Raw genomic sequence first — 24,071 nt, 5'->3', positions numbered from 1 at the left:
CCTGGAACCTCCACAGAAGGGATTGGGAAGGGTGCTGAGTCCCACACACCCAGCCTTCAAGACGTTTGGCAACATCCCTCTGCCGAGCAGGTGGCCAGCCAGTGCTGGAGTGCCTGTCTCCCTCCCTGCTGCTCCAAGGCGAGGCCAGGTGGCCCTCCCTGTGGCAGAGCTTGCCCTGTGAGACAGGAGCTGCCTCCACATGGAGCTGCCCCAACTGGGCCTTGTTCTTCCCCTTTGGATCACAGAGAACAGCTGTGCCCCTTCTTCCTCATGCAAGCCCTTGAGATTGATTTTGTAAAAATTTGTGATATGTTTGTTTATATGTATATATACTTTTATATACTTCTAGGTGTATTTATTTATTTATTTATTTTATTATTATTATTTTTTGAGACGGAGTTTTGCTCTTGTTGCCCAGGCTGGAGCACAGTGGCGCAATCTCGGCTCACTGCAACCTCCGCCTTCCGGGTTCAAGTGATTCTCCTGCCTCAGCCTCCCGAGTAGCTGGGACTCCAGGCACCCACCACTGCACCTGGCTAATTTTTGTATTTTTAGTAGCGACAGGGTTTTGCCATGGCAGCCAGACTGGTCTCAAACTCCTGACCTCAGGTGATCTGCCTGCCTCGGCCTCCCAAAGTGCTGGGATTACAGATGTGAGCCACCGTGCCCAGCCAGGTGTATTTATATATATGAGTATATATGTATGTACACATACACAGTCACACGCCACATGACGTTTCAATGATGGTGGTCTCATAAGATGATAATACCGTATTTTACTGTACTTTTCAATGTTTACGTGTGTTTAGATATACACATACTTAGCATTGTATTACAGTTGCAGCACTCAGTACAGCAACATGCTGTCCAGGTTTGTAGCCTAGGAGCAATAGACTATACCACATAGCCCAGGTGTGTAGGGGCTGTGCCATCTAGGTTTTTGTAAATACACTCTATGCTGCTCACACAATAAAATCACCTACCGATGCATTTTTCAGAACGCACCCTGTCAAGCGATGCATGACTGTAGATCATATGTATGTATTTGAAAATGATTACCCCAGAGGTGTTCTTTCTTCAGGCTGCACATCCCCAGTCCCCTGCCCCTCTCCTTTCAGGCATAGTTTCTTATCCTTCGTGATCATGGTCTCCTCTCTCTATTTATCTTCTAGTTTACTCCTGACCTGTGTTAGGCAGACTCAGGCCTTAGGCAGACTCAGGCCTACGTGAGGATAGGCAGAGCATGGGGTTACATTGCTCAGCCTAGTGATGGCTTCAGAAGCTTTTCGTTTTCATTGGATTTTGTGGATTTTGAGGATGTAGGGCAGCATTGCTAAACTATTTCATCCGCTGTCTGTTTTTGTAAATAAATTTTCTTTTTTTTTCTTTTTTTTTTTTTTTTTGAGATGAAGTCTTGCTCTTGTCACCCAGGCTGGAGTGCAAAGGTGCGATCTCAGCTCACTGCAATCTCCGCCTCCTGGGTTCAAGAGAATCTCCTGCCTCAGCCTCCCAAGGAGCTGGGATTACAAGCACCTGCCACCACACCCAGCTAATTTTGTATTTTTAGTATAGATGGGGTTTCACCATGTTGGCCAGGCTGGTCTTGAACTCCTGACCTCAGGCGGTCCACCTGCCTCAGCCTCCCAAAGTGTTGGGATTACAGGCGTGAGCCACTGTGCCAAGCCTGTACATACAATTTTATTGAAACACAGACACATACACATTTATTCTTGTTCTGTCACCCAGGCTGGAGTGCAGTGGCACGATCTCAGTTCACTGCAACCTCTGCCTCCCAGATTCAAGCGATTCTCCTGCCTTAGCCTCCCAAGTAGGTAGGACTACAGGCATGTGCCACCACACCTGGCTCACTTTTTAAAAATTTCTTGTATTTTTAGTGCAGATGGGGTTTCACCATGTTGGCCAGGCTGGTCTCAAACACCTGACCTCAGAAAATCTACCTGCCTCGGCCTCCCAAAGTGCTGGGAGTACAGGCATGAGCCACCATGGCCAGCCTGTCACACTACTTTTTAATGACAGAGTTATTGTGATAGAAATCATACGTACCGTGGGCTGGGCACAGTGGCTCACACCTGTAATCCTAGCACTCGGGGAGGCCGAGGTGGGTGGATCACCTGAAGTCAGGAGCTTGAGACCAGCCTGGCCAACATGATGAAACCCCATCTCTACTAAAAGTACAAAAATTAGCCAGGCATGGTGGTAGGTGCCTATAATCCCACCTACTCGGGAGGCTGAGGCAGGAGAACGCTTGGACTCTGGGGGGCGGAGGTTGCAGTGAGCCAAGATCGCACCACTTCACTCCAGCCTGGGCAACACAGCGAGACTCTGTCTCAAAAAAAAAAAAAAAAGAAAAGAAAGAAATTGTATGGCCTGCCGAGCTTAAAGTACTGGTCCTTTTGCACAAAAAGTTGGCTGACTCCTGGTCTAGGGCAGTGGTTCTCAACAAGGAGGGTGATTTTGCTGCCTGTAGGACATTCAGCAATGCCTGGAGACATTTTTGGTTGTTACCGTTGGGGGATGGGTGCTCTGGCATCTAGTGGGTAGAGGCCAGGATGCTGCTAAGCACCCTGCAATGCACAGGACGACCTCACACAACAAAGAGTACTAGGCCCAAAATGTCCACATTGTCAAGATTGAGAAACCCTGCTCTAGGGCAGTTTCCTGATTTCACACATGATCTTGTAGAATATACAGGAAGTGCTTAAAGAAGAAAGTAAGGCCAAGCGCAGTGGCTCGTGCCTGTAATCTCAGCACTTTGGGAGGCTGAAGCGGGCAGATCATGAGGTCAGGAGTTCGAGACCAGCCTAAACAACATGGAGAAACCCCGTCTCTACTAAAAATACAAAAATTAGCTGGGCATGGTGGCACGCACCTGTAATCCCAGCTACTTGGGAGGCTGAGGCAGGACAATCGTTTGCACCCAGGAAGCAGAGGTTGCAGTGAGCCGAGATGACACCACTGCACTCCAGCCTGGGAGACAGAGCGAGACTTCATCTCAAAAAAAAAAAAAAAAAAAAGAAAGTAAAAGTCATTCAGTCTTCCCACCCAGAAATTGTTACTACTCAAGTTTTTAATGTATTTTCCTTTGCTTTGTTTGGGTCGGTTTGTTTGTTTGTTTGTTTGTTTTGAGACAGAGTCTTGCTCTGTTGCCCAAGCTGGAGTGCAGTGGTGCGATCTTGGCTCACTGCAACCTCCACCTCCCAGGTTTTCAAGCAATTCTGCCTCAGCCTCCTGAGTAGCTTCGTCTACAGGCGTGTACCATCACCCCTCGCTAATTTTTTTATTTTTAGTAGAGACAAGTTTTCGCCATGTTGGCCAGGCAGGTCTCGGACTCCTGACCTCAAGTGATCCACCCGCCTTGGCCTCCCAAAGTGCTGGGATTACAGGTGTGAGCCACCATGTCTGGCTGCATTTTTTTCTGTGTAAAAATAGTATTGTATTTCTACTCTGTTGGAATTAATGTGCACATATTAGTAACTTAAAGTTTTTCCTGATATTAAAAAGGAAAAATTTGTTCTATTTTCAATAGAAATATATGCCCATCAAAGAAAATACAGATGAACCCCCAAAATGAGGGTCATTACCATCATTAATGTTACCTATAAACCCTGGCATTATTCTTAAGGCTGATGTTATGTATTCCCTTTGTCCTGGTAATACTACACGCAGGTATCTGTCCTGAGAAGATAGACAAGTGCGTACTGATTTATGTTCCTAGCAAAGACGTGCCTGACAGTATTGGCTTATACTGGCAAAAACTGTAACACATCTAGTATCTTTCTCATTAGGGTTCCAGTTAAATTAGTTATGGTAAAGCCCTACTTTTGGCCAGATGCAGCAGCTTACGCCTGTAATCCCAACACTCTGAGAGTCTGAGGCAGAAGGATTGTGTGAGGCCAAGAGTTCAAGAACAGCCTGGGCAACATAGCAAGACCCTGTCTCTATAAAAATTTTTTTTTTTTTTTTTTAGTTAGCCAGGTGTGGTAGGCTCACCTGTAGTTCCAGCTACTTGGGAGACTGAGGAAAGAGGATTTCTTGAGCCCAGAAGTTCAAGGCCAGCCTGGGCAACAGAGTGAGACCTCCGTCTCTACAAAAATATTTTTTAAGTCCCACTTTGGGATATGATGTAGGCATTATAAAGAAAGAAAGAAACCACTAGGTAGGGACAGACAAGTTTAGCAGATGGTGAGTCGAACAGACACGGTTTATATCCCAACTCCGCCGCTCCACAGTTCGTGGCTTGGGGCAGGTTTTGTTTAATTTCCCAGGGTCTGCTCCTCATCTTAAAATGGGCAAGTTTTGTGAGGATTAAATGAAAAAGTCATGTGAAGTGCTCATTACAGACTACCACATAGTACTTGCTCAGTAAATGTTACCAGCTTTATTGTCAAGTAAACAAGGTTACAGAATGCTATATATATAGTATATTCCTCCCTATGGTTTTTTTTTTTTTTTTTTGAGACAGAGTCTCGCTCCGTCACCCAGGCTGTTGTGCAATAGCACGATCTCGGCTCACTGCAAGCTCCACCTCCCGGGTTCACTCCATTCTCCTGCCTCAGCCTCCCGAGTAGCTGGGACTACAGGTGCCTGCCACCACTCCCGGCTAATTTTTTGTATTTTTAGTAGAGACGGGGTTTCACCATGTTAGCCAGGATGGTCTCAATCTCCTGACCTCATGATCTGCCCGCCTCAGCCTCCCAAAGTGCTGGGATTACAGGTGTGAGCCACTGCACCCAGCCCCTGTTTATGTTTTACAAAGTGGGCATGTGGCTGGGTGCAGTGTTGCACACCTGTAATCCCAGCACTTTGGGAGGCCGAGGCACATGGATCGCTCAAACTTAGGAATTCGAGACCAGTCTGGGCAACATGGTGAAACCCTACGTCTACAAAAAGTTAGGTGGGTGTGGTGGCATGCACGCCTGTAGTCTGCTTCTTGGGAGGCTGAGGTAGGAGGATCGCGTGAGCCTGGGAGGTCAAGGCTGCAGTGAGCCCAGATTGCGCCACTGTATTCCAGCCTAGGCCACAAAGTGAGACCCTGTCTCAAACAAAACAAACAAACAAAAAAAATTGGGCATGTGTTTAAAGAAGTATAAAAAAGTAACAAGAAACAGAGGCTATCTCTGGGGGAGTAAGAGTATGGAGAGACGTTTGCTTTCTGTTTATTATAGGTTCATTTGAGTATTTTAGAATGAACAAGTATGATTTAATTCATGGAGATGGGGGGAAGTCACCCATATTCCTGTCCTCATCATTGGGCTTTTGGTTTGGTTTGGTAAATAAGGCTGTTGGCCAGGAGGGTGCTGGGCTCACACTCTGTCCCTCTGTCACACTGCAGCCATGGACCTGGCTCAGGCAGGCAGCACAGTGGAATCTAAGATCTACGACACACTCCAGTGGCAGGTAAGGGTCAGCTGGGGGAGGGCGTGGGGAGAAGCACACAGGGGCACAGGTGGCTGCGTGTCACCTTCCTTTATTGTCCCCTCCTTCTCCAGATGTGGACACTCCTGCCTGGGTTCTGCACAAGGCCTACAGATGTGGCCATCTCCTTCAAAGGGCTGGCACGGACGCTGGGCATGGCCATCAGCGAGCGTCCAGACCTGAGGGTCACCGTGTGCCAGGCCCTGCGCACCCTCATCACCAAGGGCTGCCAGGCAGGTACGTGTGGGCTGTGGGAGTGGGGGCTGGGGAGGATGACACAGGTCCCTGGCCCCATCCCCTGGCTTGCTACACTCCTTGCCAGGCAGAGCCACAGAAACTCACCTCTGGAGCTCATCCTTTGCTGCTTCTGCTGCAGACCCCAGGGGATAACTTTGCTGGCTCCCTGGGGTTGGAGCCATCGAGGACCATGGGCCACTGGGGCACCAGGCTCTCCATGCCCTGGCTCAGCTTCTGCCACAGAGAGCCCCAAACCCATGGATTCCAAGTCCTGCCAGCTCCCCCAAGAGAGGGCCTCTGGGCCACAGCCCCAGCAGCCACTGAGGCACAGTCAGCTCCTGTGCCTTTAGTGCAAACTTTGATCCTTTTACCAGAGGCTGACCGTGCTGAAGTGAGTCGCTTTGCCAAGAACTTTCTGCCGATCCTCTTCAACCTGTATGGGCAGCCCGTGGCAGCCGGGGACACTCCAGCCCCTCGCCGGGCTGTGCTGGAAACCATCAGAACTTACCTCACCATCACTGACACTCAGGTGAGCCACGGAAGGGAGGGAAGGAGGGAGGAGGGGAGCTCTCAGGTGGGCAGGGTCAGAGAGGCCGAGACCCTACCCACCAGGGCTCACGTGGGTCTCTGTGTTTTGGAGCACATACCAGCAGTCATGGCTTGGGCAGGGCTGGGGGCTGATGGGGAGGCCGCTCTGGGACTGCTGCCATTGCTGCTTTCTTTCGCTCCTCCCCAATGACTCTCTTCTCCTCATTCCCTCGGGGCCACAAGTTGGTGAACAGTCTCCTGGAAAAAGCCAGTGAGAAGGTGCTCGACCCTGCCAGCTCTGACTTTACCAGGTAACATGCTCAGGGCCTCCCACTTGAGCTGGAGCAGCCCAGGGAGCTGGAGGGTGCATCTGGCAGAAGCACTGTGGGTTCCCTCTTGCATTATTTAAGGAAGCCTTGAAGTATTAACTCTCCAGGCTGTGCTGAGAGGCTGTGCTGACTAGTTCCTTCTTCCTGGAGAGGCCATTTAGTCTGGTAGGGAGGAACAAGGACCCAGGAGATACACTGCCCAGGTTCTGATCCCAGCCCCGTCACTCATGGGCTGTGTGACCTTGGACAAATTACTTATCCATTCTGCCTCTAAGGCCTCATCTGTAAAATGGGCACGATAATAGTTCTTGCAACAAGGTTGCTATGAGGATTGAAGGAGTTAGCAGGTGTAAAACACCAGGAACGGTGACTGGTACATCATGAATGCTCAGTTAGGTACTAGCTATTATTATTGTTCATGAGCTCCTTCAAGCCCCTTGTCCTCACCCTGACTTCTCCCACCTCCCCATACCCAGTAGACGTAAGAACACTGGTAGTCTGCGCCCTTCTCCAGCTCCCCATCCCTCTCCTTGTCCTCCTGCCCCGAGCAGATTGTCTGTCCTGGACCTGGTCGTGGCCTTGGCTCCGTGTGCTGACGAAGCTGCCATCAGTAAGCTATACTCCACCATCCGGCCCTACCTAGAGGTGAGCCTCGGGGGCCAGGAGCGCCACACAGCCACGCTTGGGGGCAGATGGGCTGTGGGAAGGTGGGGCCTGTCTTCATGTCTTTGTCCCTTGCTGCTTCCCGAGATCAGGTCCCTGTCTGCTTTCTCCTGCAGTGGCTTCTCTTTGTGTCCTGTGTAGCCCATCTGTCTTGCAGGTCCCAAAGGGACTGAAATGCACAGCTGTGCTTAGGCCTTGCGTGCTGAGTGACTCTTGTAGAACCAAGGCCATGCTCCTTTGCCTGGCTCACTCCCCAGGCCCATCCCAGACCGGCCTGAGCTTTATCCCACCCAGTCCACTCTCTACTTCTGCTGCAGCCTCCTTCAGCTGCCTTAAGCCTCCCTGATATAACAGGCCCTGTCTGTGCCTTTGCAGGGTTTGGGTCCTCAGCTTGAAATGCCCTCTGCTGTGGCCAGCAACCCTGCAGATCTCAGCCCAGCAGTGACCCCCTGAAAGCTGCCCCCATTGCCACAGTTTAGTAGCAGTTACCTAACAGTGTGAGAAGTGCTCTGGGGCAGCACTGCAGGTGGACATGGAAATCCAGGGCCAGGCCACGTCACCTCAGGAAAGGTGTCCGGCGTTGGGGGTTGGGGGAGTGTGACAGAGAGCTGGTTTGGAGGAGCAAGGAGTTGTCAGTCTTGGAAGGAGAGAGAAGAGTGCTCCGGCTAGAAAGAGCAGCAGATGTGCAGGCCTTGGCGCGTGCCAGGCACCATGAGCTCAGGCCACTGGAGTGAGCACTGTCCAGAGCTGGGTGAGTGGAGTGGATTGGTGGGCCCCACGGCACACACCCCCAACCCCTGTGCCTCGCCCAGGAGTTAGCCACTCGCTGTCCACATTCCACTGGTCCTCTGTCAAGCCACATGAGCCCCCACGGACCCCTGCTCAGAATCCCTCCAGTGCTGGGGGATGCTCCGTGGATAGCATTGGACAGGGAGTGAGCCCCAGGCCTCCCTCACCGGTTCCTGTCTGCCAGAGCAAGGCCCACGGGGTGCAGAAGAAGGCCTACCGAGTGCTGGAGGAGGTGTGTGCCAGTCCTCAGGGCCCCGGGGCCCTCTTCGTGCAGAGCCACCTGGAGGACCTGAAGAAGACACTGCTGGACTCGCTGCGGAGCACCTCCTCACCCGCCAAGAGGGTGAGGGCTCTAGGGCCACCCGCTCTGCCGAGGGAGCCTGGGCAACACCAGGAAAGGAGCCACTGTTGAGGCTTGTTGGGTGGAGGTAGCATTGAGGGGTCCTGACTGGTAGCCCTTTGCCCACAGCCCCGTTTGAAGTGCCTCCTACACATCGTGAGGAAGCTCTCAGCTGAACACAAGGAGTTCATCACTGCCCTCATCCCAGAGGTGAGTGTGCGGGTGTGTTTTAGAGGGGGGTCCCTGGAATGTGGCTCTTAAGGGCCTCAGGATCCAGGGAGGGCAGTGATGGGAGTGGGAGGACTCGATTCGCTTCCCGGGCAGATGGCTCAGGGAGCAGATGCTGATGGAGTTGTCTTGGCCAGGTGATCCTGTGCACCAAGGAGGTGTCGGTGGGCGCACGGAAGAACGCTTTTGCACTGCTCGTGGAGATGGGCCATGCTTTCCTAAGGTTTGGCTCGAACCAGGAAGGTGAGGCCCAGGGGGCTGGGGGTGGACACTCTGCTCATAGACTGGGTGGGGGGAAGCACCCCTCAAAAAAGGTGGGGAGAGCTCTGTGCCCTGGCCCTGGGCAGGCTGCTCCTCTCTGGCCCTCAGCCCCCCTACCTGGTGGGTCCTTCCTGCTTGACCCACGTTGGTCTCTGTCCCCAGAGGCCCTGCAGTGCTACCTCGTCCTGATCTACCCTGGCCTGGTGGGCGCGGTGACCATGGTCAGCTGCAGCATCCTGGCCCTGACCCACCTCCTTTTCGAGTTTAAAGGTAAATGCTTATTTCCTAGAAGGCCTGAGAAGCCCTCAGATTAGGAAGATGCCCAAAAGGTCAGGATAAAGTGGCTCCTGGAACTGGGAAAAGGTGCCTGGAGGAAGTAAGAAAAGCCACACCCAGCCCAGTTTGCCTCCCTGTCTCCCTTCCTGCGGGTCGCTGCCTCCCGCCCTTGCGGCTATGCCAAGGCACCTTCCTCAGGTCTGTCCCCACGTGTGACTGTGCAGTCCAGTGGCCCTGCATCCCATTGTCAGAGTGGTTAGGAGGTGGTTAGGGCTGATGCCTGGATTTTAGTCCTAGTCCTGCCTCTTGGCAACCACATGAGACCTAGAACAGCTTGATTAGCCTCTTAGCACCTCAGTTTCTTATCTCTAAAATGGAAGCAAGAAATAGCACCCACCTCAGGGTGACGAAAGGACCCAAGACCACTCCATGGAGCGTGATTGGAACCATCCCGGGCATACGGAAAGGCTCTCAATGTCAGCTTTTACTGACACTTGAGTGGCTGTTTTCCAGTGGGGAAGGTTTGGGTCTGAGTGGGGTCCTGGGTGTCTTAGACAGTGACCCCCTCACTGCCACAGGTCTGATGGGGACCAGTACAGTGGAGCAGCTGCTGGAGAATGTGTGCCTGCTTCTGGCCTCCCGCACCCGTGACGTGGTCAAGTCTGCACTGGGCTTCATCAAGGTGGCAGTGACTGTCATGGACGTGGCGCACCTGGCCAAACATGTGCAGCTGGTGGTGAGTGTCCCCGTTCCCCTTAGCAGGTAGCAGGGTGGCCTCTGAGCTGTTGGCATGGACCTGGCAAGCTTCGAGGCCAGCAAGTTTCAAACTATTTTTTTTGTAGCCAGAGGTCATTAAGGAGCCCTAAAAGGGACCATAGGGGAATGCCTGTCAGGTGGAGGCGAGGAGGGGGCACACTGCCCAGGTGGCTTTCTTCACCCCAGAGCCCTACATGGAAAGCAACAGGGGCTCTTCAGGGCAAAGGCCCATGGGCAGGGCCACTCCTCATTTTACAGATGGAGAAACTGGGCCAGAGATTTTCCAGATCATGGGACTCAGACGCTGGGCTCTCCCTCCACAGGACCCCCTCATCTTGCCTTTTTTTTTTTCCCATCTTGCATTTTGACCTTGCTGGTTAGAGGCCATTCCTTTGGGTCCCCTGCTGGGCTGCAGAAGGATCTGAAGAGCCCCTTGGTATAGGGTCCCTGGCCCTCTCCTGCCCAAGAGAAGCCTTGCCCAGGCTGGCGTAGGCTTCCAGCCAAGCTGTGCACTGTACCTACTGCCTCAGTTTCCCATGTGTGACTGGCTTGAGTCACATCAGACCTCTGGGTCCCTCTTGCATATTTTCTTTGGGTCTGGCCTTGGGTTCAAGATAGGAAGGGACAGATGAGAATCAGCATGCCCTCCCGCTGCCCTCGGAGCCTGCAGCCTACTAGGGACCAAAGGTGGGGAGAACAGCTAGAGCAGTGATCCATCATGGAGTTATTCGAATTTATACAAGCCCTGGCCGGCTGCAGTGGCTCACACCTGTAACCCCACCACTTTGGGAGGCCAAGGCAGGCAGATCACTTGAGTTCAGGAGTTTGAGACCAGCCTGGCCAACATGGTGAAACCCCATCTCTACTAAAAATACAAAAATTAGCTGGGCGAGGTGGCAGGTGCCTGCAATCCCAGCTACTCGGGAGGCTGAGGCAGGAGAATCACTTGAACCTGGGAGGCGGATGTTGCAGTGAGCCAAGATTGCACCACTACACTCCAGCCTGGGTAACAGAGCAAGACTCTGTCTCAAAAAAAAGGGATTTATAGAAGCCCTTCCAAGAGTGGTTGGGGAGGCCAGGAGCGGTGGCTCACACCTATATTCCTAGCACTTTGGGATGCCAAGGTGGGTGGATCACTTGAGGTCAGGAATTCGAGACCAGCCTGGCCAACATGGTGAAGCCCCATCTCTACTAAAAAATACAAAAATTAGCCAGGCATGGTGGTGCGCGCCTGTAGTCCCAGCTGTTCATGTGGCTGAGGTGTGAGAATTGCTTGAACCTGGGAGGCGGAGGTTGCAGTGATCCGAGACCATGCCATTGCACTCCAGCCAGGGTGACAGAGCAAGACTCTGTCTCAAAAAAAAAAAAAAAAAAGCCAGGCACAGTGGCTCACACCTGTAATCCCAGTACTTTGGGAGGCCAAGGTGGGCGGATCGCCTGAGGTTGGGAGTTCAAGACCAGCCTGGCCAGTATGGTAAAACCCTGTCTGTACTAAAAATACAAAAATTAGCCAGGCGTGATAGCAGGCACCTGTAATCCCAGCTATTCAGGAAGCTGAGGCAGGAGAATTGCTTGAACCCAGGAGGTGGAGGTTGCAGTGAGCTGAGATCGTGCCATTGCACTCCAGCCTGGGCAACAGAGCGAGACTCCATCTCAAAAAAAAGGAGTAGACGTGGACCCTATCCCCTAGCCGGTTTGGGAGTCACTGGAGATAAGAAGATCTGCCACCTGCACATGTAACCCAAACTGGGCCAGATGAAGGCTTAAGAGGAATCCAGCCAGAGCAGAATGCAGTGAGATGGAAGGGACATAGGGGACCAAGAGAAATCTTGGGGTGCTAGGGGCAAAGCGGGAGCCGCAGCATTAGATGAGTCTGGGCTGAACTCCCACCTCTATGGCCATTTAGCAAACACTTTATCCTCTGTGCCGCCGTGTCCTCTTCTATAAATAGGGGGTGATAGCATGTATCTCAGGGGTAGTCCAAGGATTCAAGGAGAGGATATATGTCAAGTACCAAGTGCTGTTGAGAAGACTAAAGCTCTCATCCTGCGAGGGTGCTCAGGCCTGTGTCCTGAAGGAGGGTGCAGGGGAAAGATGGGGCCTGCCCACCCGAGGGAAGCATGACTGGGCCAGGGTGTGGGCCAGGAGCAGGGCCGCGCTAACCCTCCCCTCAGCTGGGCTTGATCATGCTGCGTCCCTGGGCTGGACAGCAGTAAAGGGGGCGCAGCATGGAAGGCTCGCCTCCCTGAAAGCCTGGTGCTCTGTCCGGCAGATGGAAGCCATTGGGAAGCTTTCAGATGACATGCGGCGGCACTTCCGCATGAAGCTTCGGAACCTGTTCACCAAGTTCATCCGCAAGTTTGGGTCTGTGCACTGAGCAGGGGCGGGGGTAGGGCAAGCGAGGGGCCGAGGATTTCCAGTCCTACCAGGGACACTACATCTGGGTCGTGCTGTCTGGCCAGTGCCTCTCACCAGCCCTTCCTTGCCACCTCCAGATTTGAGCTGGTGAAAAGGCTGTTGCCCGAGGAGTACCACAGAGTCCTGGTCAACATCCGGAAAGCTGAGGCCCGGGCCAAGAGGCACCGAGCCCTGAGCCAGGCTGCCGTGGAGGAGGAAGAAGAGGAGGAGGAGGAGGAGGAGCCCGCCCAGGGCAAAGGTGACAGGTGAGACCATGTTAGGGCCATGGGACCCGGTGTCCCCCCAACCCAAGGGCCTGCCCAGGCAATACCCGCTGACCCCCGCCTCTCCTGGGAGCACTCTGACTGGGGGCTTTTTGTCCTTAGCATTGAGGAGATTTTAGCTGACTCAGAGGACGAGGAGGACAATGAGGAGGAGGAAAGAAGCCGAGGCAAGGAGCAGCGGAAGCTGGCACGACAGAGGAGCCGGGCATGGCTGAAAGAGGGCGGTGGGGACGAGCCCCTCAACTTCCTGGATCCCAAGGTGGCCCAACGAGTCCTGGGTAAGCACAGGGCTGGCCAGTGCACTCAGAAAACAGACTTGCCATGGTGCCAGGTTCTCAGGTGGTGGGTAGGGGGTGGCATCCATGGCAGGCCCATGGACAGGGCTGAGAGGCGCCCGTTTGGGATCCCTGAGCCGGGCTTGTTGGTCATGATGAGGGTGAGTAGCATGGGACTGGCCTTCCACCTCCTCATGCCAAACTCTACACCCCAGCCACGCAGCCAGGGCCAGGCCGGGGCAGGAAGAAGGACCACGGCTTCAAGGTGAGCGCCGATGGCCGGCTGATCATAAGGGAGGAGGCAGACGGCAACAAGATGGAGGAAGAGGAAGGTGCCAAAGGTGGGCCCAACGCGCTTGTCCATTCATTCACCGTGTTCACTTATTCCTTCGGTGATCACTTGCTGAGGAAGCGTGGCTAAAAACAGACCAGAGAAACTCTTCTCTCGGCAGCTTCCTCAAACTTTTTGAGTTTCTCAAACTTTTTTTGAGAAACATTAAGAAATCTTTTTATGTTGTAACCGAGCCATTTATACAATACATATTTAACTTAAAGGAAACTATCGGAAATGGTACTTCCCCTTACTGTGTGTGATACGCTGTTAGTCTCTTCTGTTTTTCTCCTCCTCCTCCCCCTCCTCTTCCTTTCTCCTTTTCTTCCTTCCTCTTTTTTTTTTTTTTTTAATGCAAACTTGGCTAAGGCCCTGAAGATGATTTAGAGGCAGAAAGAGCCAGAGGCTGAAACCCTCCCAACTTCCCAATCCCAATGTCTCACATTGCCCGGGAGTCCCTCCGGTGTGGCATCTCGGAGCTCTCTTTAGTCTTTCCTGGCCCCTCTCCACATATCCAGCCATTAGCTAAGAAACACTTAGGTCTTCGCCAGGCGTGGTGGCTCACGCCTGTAATCCTAGCACTTTGGGAGGCCAAGGCGCGCAGATCAGGAGGTCAGGAGATCAAGACCATTCTGGCTAACACGGTTAAAACCCATCTCTACTGAAAACACAAAAAATTAGCTGGGCGTGGTCGCGGGCGCCTGTAGTCCCAGCTACTCGGGAGGCTGAGGCAGGAGAATGGCGTGGACCCAGGAGGCAGAGCTTGCAGTGAGCCAAGATTGTGCCACTGCTCTCCAGCCTGGGTGACAGAGCGAAACTCTGTCTCAAAAAAAAAAAAAAAAAAACACCTAGGTCTTCAAGAACACACCTGTCATCCCTTTGTTTGGTTCCCAGTGCTGCGAGCTCTGGGCCCTTGTCTCACTGCACCTCCTAACTGGAGCCTCACTGCTCCACATGCACCCAACTCACCAGCCACACGACTGCAGCCGCTCGGTCAGCCTCTCCTTAGCTCCGTTTCCTTGCTTCAGAGTGGATATCATACAATCCTAATACCCACTTTTCCGGGTTGGAATGAAGATGAATCGGTGTAATGGGGACAGCGTATGTACTTGGTGTACATGTGCCTGTTATATTTCCGTGTCTAGTGTCTTCTCTGCTCCTCTCTCGCCCCTGTATACTTTCCCATCTCCTGTCCCCCTTGGTGCCCAGGCATTCCTGAGGCTGTCAGGACCCCTCCCCTCTCTCTCTGCCTTTCCAAACCCCCCTGCTCTTCAGGATTCAGCTCAAAGCTCCTTTTGTAGCCCTTCCTGGGCACCTCAGCCTTTAGGCCTGATTCCCCCAGAACTCCTGCCAAGCCCAGAGGAAACCCAGTCTTCAGCCCTTGGTCATGTGCTTTCTTTGGAGATAGAGTCTCGCTCTGTCACTCAGGCTGGAGTGCAGTGGCTCGATCTCGACTCACTGCAGTCTCCATGTCCTGAGTTTATGTGATTCTCCTGCCTCAGTCTCCCAAGTATCGGGGACTACAGGCGTGCGCCACCATGCCCAGCTAATTTTTGTATTTTTAGTAGTGATGGGGTTTTGCCATGTTGCAGACTGGTCTTGAACTCCTGACCTCAGGTGATCCTCCCTCCTCGGCCTCCCAGAGTGCTGGGATTACAGGTGTGAGCCACCACACATGGCCGGTCACGTGCTCTCTATCGTCTTTTGGTTGTTGATTGACTTTGCCTGAGTTTCTCTTCCCTCCAATTGGTCAGTTTCATACTTTATATTCCCACATGGAGCCCAGCACATACTGCATGGGGCAGAGATTTCAAACAGGAGAATGAAGCCTTCCTGGCACAGTGGGGGTGTGTATGGGGCTGCAGGAGCGCCTGACTCCCCCGGAAACCTGGGGCTTTCTTCAAATCTCAAACAGATGAAGGGTGGGTGAGTGGGAAAAGAAAAGTTTCAAACGAAGCCATATTCACCTCAAAAGTAGGATCACCGCTTCTTTGAGGGGCCGTTATCCCTAGGGCCTAGGGTGGGAAGGAGAAAGGGGCAGTGCTCAGGGGTCTCATCTCTTCTAGCAGAAGGATGATATTGGTCTGAGGAAGGCAATTTTCTGGGGCCGGAGTTGGTGGCCCCGCAGCCTGGTGAGCCAGGAGGGGGCAGAAGGAAAGGGTAGGTTTTGAGGAGCTCCCACAGCGCTCATGGGCCTCTCTTTTTTGGCTCCAGGCGAAGATGAAGAGATGGCTGACCCAATGGAAGATGTGATCATCAGGAATGTGAGTAGTTCCTGCAGATGGGGGGCTAGGGCTTCAGACCTAAGCCTGGGCTCCACAGCTTCTCACCCCCACCACACGTAGACATTGGAACTGCCCTGTTTCTGGAATGCTCGGTGCATCCTCACAGGTGTGCATAGCAGGCGGTCCAGAAGGTTGTGGGTGCCAGGCAGGACAGGGTGATGGTTGTCTAGTTAAAGGAGAAAGAAGGCAGAGACCCTTGTCTCTCTAGCGAGGGCATGTGCTATGCAGGGGCAAGGGCAGCAGCTTCCCTGTGTGCTCCTGCATGGGGTGGGGGCATCCACCGTAGGGGAGCATGGCTGTGTGCCCAGCACTGTGCTGAGGGCCCCACATAGCCTCACGAAGATAGGGACTCCGTTGTCCCAGTGACCAGAGGAGCGTACAGAGGTAAGTAGCCTGCCCAGGGTCACAGGACTCAGTCTGTGCAAACCAGGAATTTGAACCCTGGTTTTCCAGTCTCCTAAGCCCAGGAATTCAACCTCTTTGCCACCATTACCCCTGTTGACCTGGCAGTGCTGCCTGCCAGGATGGAAACAGCCTCTCAGCTGCCCCACCTGAACCAACAAGGGTGAAGTGGGCCCAACCCATCACCCAACACCTGTCAGTCTCAAGCTCAGTGGAACATTTCCATTCTGGAGCAGTTTCTTCCCTCTCTGCCCTTCCAGACTATGCCCCAGCCCATCCAGCCTTCCTGGGCACCACCCGTAGGTGACAGAGCCTACATCAGGGTATAGTGATATCGGTGGGGAAGCGGCAGACTCTGGGGTCCCATCTTGGCTTCAGCCTAACCTTTTAAAGCCTCAATTCCTGATCTGTAAAGTGGGGTTATAAATAGACCACCTGGTGGAGTCATTGGGACAGTTTGGTAAGATTGGGCGTGTAAAGTGCATTAGCATAGTGCCTGAAGTGTTACAGACTTCCCCCACATCCCCGTTTTCATTGGCGTCATGTTTGTCAATGTCTGCCCATATGCCTTGCCAAGTGTCCATCTGCCCAGTGTGGCCCGAGGAGGAGTTTGTTATTAGAGCATTGTGACAGCGCAGAATTCTGTTTGAAGAGCTGAGTACATATCCAGAGTCTTGGGTCAGAGAGTAGCTGAGGACCTGAGCAGCCTCTGATGCGGGAAGCCCCTCTGGGATGCCCTTGAGGAAAAGCAGTGGGGCTTCTGCTGAAAACCCTCCTGCCCCTCTCTGCGCCCAGGCAACCACTCCTGTGGGACAGCTTCACCTACTGGGAGTCCTTCCTCTGCTTGGTCTGACATGGGCCCCTCCGAGAGGCCACCCTCAGGCCAGTCTAGTCTCCCTCTCCAGGTGATGGCAGTCGTCTGCCAAACGTGTGTCTGGGCCCAGACTGCCTGGGCTCAAGTCTTTGTTTCTGTGTACAGTGCTTGCCACTTAGTGATGCAAAGTAAGCCATTGTGACTTGATTATTCACTTTTCCTGGAAATCTTTTTCCATTCAAAGCCTCCTGGGTTCCTTAAGCACATCTTCACATGTGGCTTTGCAGATCCTCGGCAGCCTACTCCTCTCCCTGGCCGGGGAGAACCGACCACGGCTTTCTAAGGATGTCCCCCACTGCCCCGGGCAGAGCGGGACTGAGCAGATGCCTTGTCTCCAGGCACTGAGAGGGCCCCAGGGCAGTTGCATTCTGTGGCTGGCTCCTGCCACTGAGACCCCCAGAGGGTTTCTTGCATGGCACTTAGTTCTAACTCTTTTTTTTTTTTTTTTTTTGAGATGAAGTCTCACTTTTTCGCCAGGCTGGAGTGTAGTGGCGCAATCTCGGCTCACTGCAACCTCCCCCTCCCAGGTTCAAGTGATTCTCCTGCCTCAGCCTCCTGAGTAGCTGGGATTACAGGTGCATGCTACCACGCCCAGCTAATTTTTGTATTTTTAGTGGAGATGGGGTTTCATCATGTTGGTCAGGCTGGTCTCGAACTCCTGACCTCGTGATCCACCCACCTCAGCCTCCCAAAGTGCCAGGATTACAGGCGTGAGCCACCGGGCCCGGCCAAGTTCTAACTCCTCGGCCAACCATTGTGGAAGCATGAAGTGCTGGGGTTCAAGTAGCTGCCTCCATTCAGGGCCAGCAGGCTGGGCTGTTGGCCAAGCACCAGCTGAACCAAGAGCCAGCTCAGCCATCATCCCCTACATTGCAGTCGGAGTCAGCTTCCTCCCGGTTCCTGTTTCTCCACTAGGAGCCCACTCAGCTGGGCTTCGGCCAGTGGACCTGGAGTCCCCCGTCTCCCAGGCACACCCTGTGTGTGCTGCAGCCTGTTCGCTCTGCCCAGGCCGATCCCTTTACCTGGCATACCTTTCCCCTGGTTGGCCTCTGGATCCCCTGGGTAGCTGGAGCCCTGGGAATCTGCAGTTTCTAGAGGTTTCTGGGGCACAGTGGCACAGACCACAGTGCAGGGACCAGCCTTGCCAGCTGGGGCCACCTCTGTTTGCCTGCCCTCCCTGCACAGCACGCCTCTGCCTGGCCTGGTTGTTGGTTCTAGGCTCACATCTGATGGGCTGGGGCCGCTGTCGGGCTCTCCCTCCTTCCCTTGGACTGCCTAACACAGTGCCAGGCGCACAGTAGGTGCTCTGTCACTTCCTGTTGAATATAATTGACGAGCTGACGTGTCTTACTGTCCATGATCATACCTGCTGGGATGGTAGCATTGTTGAGGATCAGTGATGACTGGCTTGAGCAGGGGTCTCCCACCCGCCTGAGAGCCCGTGGAGCACAGGAACTAGATCTTGTGCCCTGTGTCCCCAGGGCCTGGCACTTAGTAGGGGATCAGTAAGTGAGTGATTAATAGGGAGAGTGGGGTGGGGTTTGTGTGAAGCAAAGAACTGGTAAAGCTATTCTCTCTGAAGAGGCCAGGGACCTCATTTTCCCCATTAGGAAGGCTGGGTAAGCTGATGTCAGAAGCCCTCTGGGCAATTGCAGGCCTGGGTGGGGCCCAGAGTGGAAAGGAAGAGCAGGAACGGCCGCCACCAGCCCGGCAGTCAGGACATGGCCAGAGCTTCTCTTCTGCACTGCCTGGCTTTGTGATCTTGGACAGTTCCTTGCCCTCTCTGGGCCTTAGTTTCCCCATCTGTAAGTGAGAGGTGGGGTGCTTAGCAGAGGGCCTCTCCTGCTTGATGCAGGGTACTCTGCTGTTACTGTTGGCATTCCCGAGGGTGGGCACATCCCCTGGTTCACTCACTACCCACCTATTCTCTCTCTATAGAAAAAGCACCAGAAGCTCAAGCACCAGAAAGAGGCTGAGGAGGAGGAGCTGGAGATACCCCCTCAGTACCAAGGTGAGGCTTCCACTCCTCTCTCCTGGGACACATGGATCCCTGTCACCTGCATTAGGGAGGGGAGTCACAGGAAGGGGTGGCAGGGCCATGAGGGTGCACAGCCTGGTTGCACTCACTTGGCACCAACAGAGGTTGGCTGATATGACACTCAAGATGGGCCTGGAGTCTAAGGGGCCCTGGGGGTGTGAGAGAGCCTATGGGTTAGGAGATCTGTGCATGGAACCACCAGCCTTCTGAGGAGCCCTGAGCCACAGCTCCTTCCCACCCGCCCAGGCCTCCCAAGAGGCTTGAGTCTGTCCCTTCTGCGAGCTGCTTGCCTCTCTTGGTCACCCTAAGAGCACCAACCGAGTCAGGCTGGGTTTAGAGAAGCCACTTGGCCGGTGCCAGGGCTGGGAACTGGGAAGGTTGGTATTGGGTCTGGCCAGAGGGTTCCCCTCTATTTCTATCTCTGGGCCCACCAGCTGTTGCCCTCCTAGAGCAGCTGCTAGAAGTGCCAAGGTGGCTTCACCTCTGCTTCCTTCCTCCCAGGGTAGCCTTGCAGGACCCCTGCCCCCAAGCCCTTGCAGCAGAGCCCTTGCTTTGCATCTGGAGGTCCAGGGGCTCCTGTGGGAAGCCTCTGATTCCAGTAGCTGGTGTGTCCTCAGCCCTAGAGCATCATAACGCAGCTGCACAACCTCATGGCTCTTCCGCCTGTGGCACCCATGAGCCAGGGCCAGCTCACCTACTGTGCCCTGGGATGGAGTGATGCTGAGGCAGGAGTACCTGCCAATTGATGAGGCAGAGACCTGGGGTCAGGGCTGCTTGCCCAACCTCTGCTTAGCTGTTTGACCTTGGCCTGGTTACACTGTCTGTCTCTGAGCTTCTAGTTTCTCATCTGCAAAAACATGAGGAATGGGGGTGGTTCGTGTTGGTCGTCTCAGAGAGTCCTCCTGAGCTGGCATGGTAGGATTCCATCCACAACTTGTCGTTGAATGTTGAAGTCCAGGCTGGAGAAGACAGCTGACCTTGGGCAAGGATCTTGATCTCTCTAAGCCACAGTGTTCACATCTGTTACAATGGGTTAAATAGCTACCTGCTATCTCAGTGTTTGTGTGAAACCCAAATGAGATAAGAAGGGAAAGCCTAAAATGGCTTCTCTTACAGATGAGGTTAAGAGGCTTGCCTGAGGTTGGAGCTGTAAGTGGCAGAGCTGGGAGTTGAACCTGGCTGGCTGGCTGGCTGAATTCTGTCTGACTTTGGAGAATATGGGTTATTTTTTGTTAGTGTGTTAGCGGAGAATATATGTGTTCCCAGAGGTCTCTGGTAAGCTGTAAGGCTTCTGGGTCAGTCTGAGGAGCCCAGTGATCTAACTGTCAAATCACCAGACAGTCCCTCCTCGAGGAAGGTCTTTGTCCTGGTTTGATAGGGGACAGAGCCAAGTTCCTGGCCTTCACTCATCTGCTCCCTTGCAGCTCTCTCAGAGAGGGTGCCCATTGCCTTTCTGGAGGGGGCTGCCCTGGCTTTGCCTGACTCATGGTCCTGTGTTCTCCCCGTAGCTGGAGGCTCTGGCATTCATCGCCCTGTGGCCAAGAAGGCTATGCCTGGGGCTGAATACAAGGCCAAGGTAAGTGCTGCATGTAGGGCATGGGGTCTCCTGGCACTGGACAGGTGCCAGGGAGGGGCAAGGAGGAGCTGTGCCCATCACTGTCCTGAGAGGCACCTTCCTGGAACTCAACTGAGGCCAGGAAAGAAGAAGGGGTTCAGATGCTAAGACCTTGTGGCATCTGAAATGGGGGACCTTATTGAATGGCCTTCCAAGGATACAGGAGCTCTTTGGCACCACCTAAGGCAGAGGATGAAGGGAGGTTATGGGGCCTGTCAAGTCTAGGGCAGGGACAGAAGGGGAACCCCACCCTCCTAGCTGACTCTGTTTCTCTGGGCAAGCAGAAAGCAAAAGGTGATGTGAAGAAGAAAGGCCGGCCGGATCCCTATGCCTACATCCCCCTCAACAGAAGCAAGCTCAACCGCAGGTATGACGCTGTGCCAGGCAGGCTGGGGGCTGGAGGATGGGTGGGGATGAGGGAGCAGAGTGCTCTAAAGAAGGGAAGGCCTTATTAAACTCTCAGCTCAATTTGAGTCTCTTCCAGCTTTTTTTTTTAACATGCACCTATATCATGTAGCTGGTACCTACCTGTATTACTGACTTGAACTGCTTCTTTATTTTTTTATTTTTTTGAGACAGAGTCTTGCTCTGTCGCCAGGCTGGAGTGCAGTGGTGCGATCTTGGCTCACTGCAATCTCTGCCTCCCAGGTTCAAGCTAGTCTTCTGCCTCAGCCTCCCGAGTAGCTAGGACTACAGGCGCGTGCCACCATGCCCAGCTAATTTTTGTATTTTTAGTAGAGATGGGGTTTCACCGCGTTGGCTGGGATGGTCTCGATCTCTTGACCTCATGATCTGCATGCCTCAGCCTCCCAAAGTGCTGGGATCACAAGCACGAGCCACCGTGCCCCGCCCTGAACTGCTTCTTTAAACATGATATTATGTCATACAGATGTTTTCTGGTATTTACATACTCTACATAGTCATCTTTTTTTTTTTTTTTTGAGACGGAGTCTCGCTGTGTCACCCATGCTGGAGTGAGTGCAGTGGCACGATCTCGGCTTACTGCAAGCTCTGCCTCCCGGGTTCACGCCATACTCCTGCCTCAGCCTCCGGAGTAGCTGGGACTACAGGCACCCGCCACCACACCCGGCTAATTTTTTTGTATTTTTAGTAGAGACGGGGTTTCACTGTGTTACCCAGGATGGTCTTGATCCCCTGACCTTGTGATCTGCCCACCTCGGCCTCCCAAAGTGCTGGGATTACAGGCATGAGCCACCACGCCCAGCCATAGTCATCATTTTTAATAGCTTTGTATAATTTGCTTTTCTAATCCCTTTATTGGTAGGAAATTAGAGTTGTTTCCGACTTTGGCCCTTAAATTGGGTTATGTGTAGGACTGCTTTGGAAACTAATGTTACTAGGGAAATGGTGTTGTAAAGTTCTAGCTTCTGCGGGTTGTAAGTTACCTTTCAATGGAGGGATGGGTGGGCAGAGGGAGCTTTGACCTTCTCTGGACATACATTAGAGGAAAAATGGAAGGGAGGCCTGTTTCCAGGGGGATAATTGTGCCAAAGTGGAATGTCCAGGTCAGGACATGAGCCGTGTGGAAGCTGGAACCACGTGAGGTCTGCCTAGTTCATGTGCTGGCCACCACCTGGAGGCCCCCTTCTCATCCCTGCTGGCGCTGGGGGTGAGCCATCATTTGGCAACAGGAGGGGGCCTCCTATTCTCAGCCAGATGTGACCCTTCCGTTCCTTGGCCCTGCAGGAAGAAGATGAAGCTGCAGGGACAGTTCAAAGGCCTGGTGAAGGCTGCCCGGCGAGGTTCCCAGGTGGGACACAAAAACCGCAGAAAGGATCGTCGACCCTGAGGCCCAGGGCCCCTGGGCTGCCCTGTGGTCCAGTCTGAGGCCCTTTCAGCCCCCAGGCTGCCTTGCCACCAGCTCCAGGTGCTCAAGATTCTGGCAGAGCCTGGACTCAGGATGACTTGGAACTAGGGCTTGGCTCTCAGAAGTCCTGGATTTTGGAAACTCCAAATGGAATCACCCTTCAGAGACATCCCTGGTGCCTGGAGATGGGAATGTGGCCTCAGTGCCTCTGAGTAGGTGCCATGAGGCACCTTTGCTTTCTGCCCAGAGTGGCCATGAGCACCAGAACAGATGATCTCCATTTCCGCCAGCTGCCTGTAGCCACGTGGCATCCTGCCTGTGGTCTGGGTGAGATTTACTGTGACCAGATGTAGAATAAATGTGTCTCATCCTGCATTTTTTTTCTAGAAACTGTTTCATAGTCTGCCCCCTCCAGGGGTAAGAACAGTGTGCAGTTGTTGGCAGCAGTGGCCTGACCTCTTCCTGTCTAACTCCTTACATCCAGTCCAGGGCATATCATAAGGCTTTGCCCATAGGACAGGCTTTGGAACTTGCCCGGGAGCACCCACCTGTGTCAGGAGGGGCAGCGAATGCCCCAGGGCTGGTGTCGGGAGCTGCAGTTCAGCACCAGGGACTGCCCCAGCTGTCCTGGGCACAAGTCTCTCCAGCATCTTTGTTCATTGATTCAACAAAGTATTTGCTGAGCCCCTCTAAGTGCCCAGCATAGCCTTGTTCATTCACCTCCGTGTCTTCCCACATTCTTTTTTTCCCAGACAAGGGGATCTGTTTGTGTAATGTGATTCACTGGGCCAGCTTTGTTGGTCTGGAGCAGAGAAGGGCATGGCACAGAAGTCCTGAGGTCACTGTCCTGTCAGCCCAGGTCCCCTCATGTGGATACAATCCCACAGGCAGCCAGAAGCAAAGAACCCCAGCACTGTTCCCACACCCCAGTATGAGTGTGCTTTGTGCCCTAGCACCTGACTGATACATTCTTCCCATCTCAGATCCTCCCAACGTGAGGCGAGCACATGCACACATTCCTCGTTTCCATTCTAGTTTAAGGCACTTGGCTCTGATAATGGTCCCAGGAGGCCCTGTGCACCTCCTGGCAGCCTGTCCCACCACACTCTTCCACTCATTATCTAAGGGGACCCAAGTCTTAATTGGATCTGGCGCTCCCCAAATTAGGGCATTTCCTCCCAATGATTTGGGGCTAGGAAAAGCTGAAAGGAACCACACTCGGCCCAGAGGTGGCACTGTTTACATGCCTTGTTCACAGAAATCTAGAATTGGAGAGCAAGCAAGAAAGGTGGTCAGGAGTGGCTAGGAGAGATTTGCAGAGGGGATCTAACCATACTCCCCGTTGTTACACTTCTGGACACAAGTTGGGCCGAAGTAAGCCAAGCCCAGTCCTTCCTGTTTCCTTTCTCAGGAAATGTGACCACGTGCACTGGGAAGCTTTGTGTAAAGTAGATAGGGGTATGAGCCAATTGCCCAGCATTGGTGTTTTGTTTTTTGTTTGTTTGTTTGTTTTCACAGAGTCTTGCCCTGTCACCCAGGCTGGAATGCAATGGCGTGATCTCAGCTTACTGCAACCTCTGCCTCCCAGGTTCACACAATTCACCTGCCTCAGCCGCCTGAGTAGCTGTGATTACAGGCACCCGCCACCACGCCCAGCTAATTTTTGTATTTTTAGTAGAGACAGGGTTTCACCATGTTGGCCAGGCTGGTCTCGAACTCCTGACCTTGTGATCCGCCCACCTTGGCCTCCCAAAGTTCTGGGATTACAGGCGTGAGCCACTGCGCCCAGCTTATTGGTGTTGTTTGTTTGTTTTTTAAAAAAAGGCCAGGCACGGCTCATACCTGCAATCCCAGCACTTTGGGAGGCCGAGGCGGGTGGATCACCTGACCAACATGGAG

At 53.4% G+C, this 24,071-nt stretch overlaps 1 protein-coding gene across 6 annotated transcripts in view; it reads left to right on the top strand.

Annotated features, from left to right (window-relative positions):
- Window positions 1-22,891, top strand: part of RRP12 (ribosomal RNA processing 12 homolog) — a 45,014-nt gene extending 22,123 nt beyond the window's left edge. For 3 of the 6 annotated variants that reach the window (NM_001145114.1, XM_047424903.1, NM_015179.4), the window contains 19 exons: window positions 5,354-5,418; window positions 5,511-5,673; window positions 6,048-6,202; window positions 6,445-6,512; window positions 7,082-7,175; window positions 8,167-8,325; window positions 8,452-8,532; window positions 8,688-8,793; window positions 8,974-9,081; window positions 9,666-9,823; window positions 12,116-12,207; window positions 12,339-12,506; window positions 12,627-12,802; window positions 13,015-13,140; window positions 15,345-15,394; window positions 18,630-18,702; window positions 20,238-20,305; window positions 20,629-20,711; window positions 22,052-22,547. In NM_001145114.1, coding sequence (NP_001138586.1) covers window positions 5,354-5,418; window positions 5,511-5,673; window positions 6,048-6,202; window positions 6,445-6,512; window positions 7,082-7,175; window positions 8,167-8,325; window positions 8,452-8,532; window positions 8,688-8,793; window positions 8,974-9,081; window positions 9,666-9,823; window positions 12,116-12,207; window positions 12,339-12,506; window positions 12,627-12,802; window positions 13,015-13,140; window positions 15,345-15,394; window positions 18,630-18,702; window positions 20,238-20,305; window positions 20,629-20,711; window positions 22,052-22,154 — 2,096 coding nt within the window. In that variant the 3' untranslated portion in view covers window positions 22,155-22,547. Of the gene's footprint in view, window positions 1-5,353; window positions 5,419-5,510; window positions 5,674-6,047; window positions 6,203-6,444; window positions 6,513-7,081; window positions 7,176-8,166; window positions 8,326-8,451; window positions 8,533-8,687; window positions 8,794-8,973; window positions 9,082-9,665; window positions 9,824-12,115; window positions 12,208-12,338; window positions 12,507-12,626; window positions 12,803-13,014; window positions 13,141-15,344; window positions 15,395-18,629; window positions 18,703-20,237; window positions 20,306-20,628; window positions 20,712-22,051 lie in introns of those variants that run through there. The other 3 variants (NM_001284337.2, XM_011539556.3, XM_047424904.1) reach the window with 3 other exon arrangements.
- Window positions 22,892-24,071: the final 1,180 nt, after the last annotated feature.

The sequence above is a fragment of the Homo sapiens genome, chromosome 10 (assembly GCF_000001405.40).
Source record: "Homo sapiens chromosome 10, GRCh38.p14 Primary Assembly".
Taxonomy (NCBI): Eukaryota; Metazoa; Chordata; class Mammalia; order Primates; family Hominidae; genus Homo; species Homo sapiens.
Note: the sequence above shows the minus strand (reverse complement) of the source record. Positions and strands in the feature narration are given on the sequence as shown.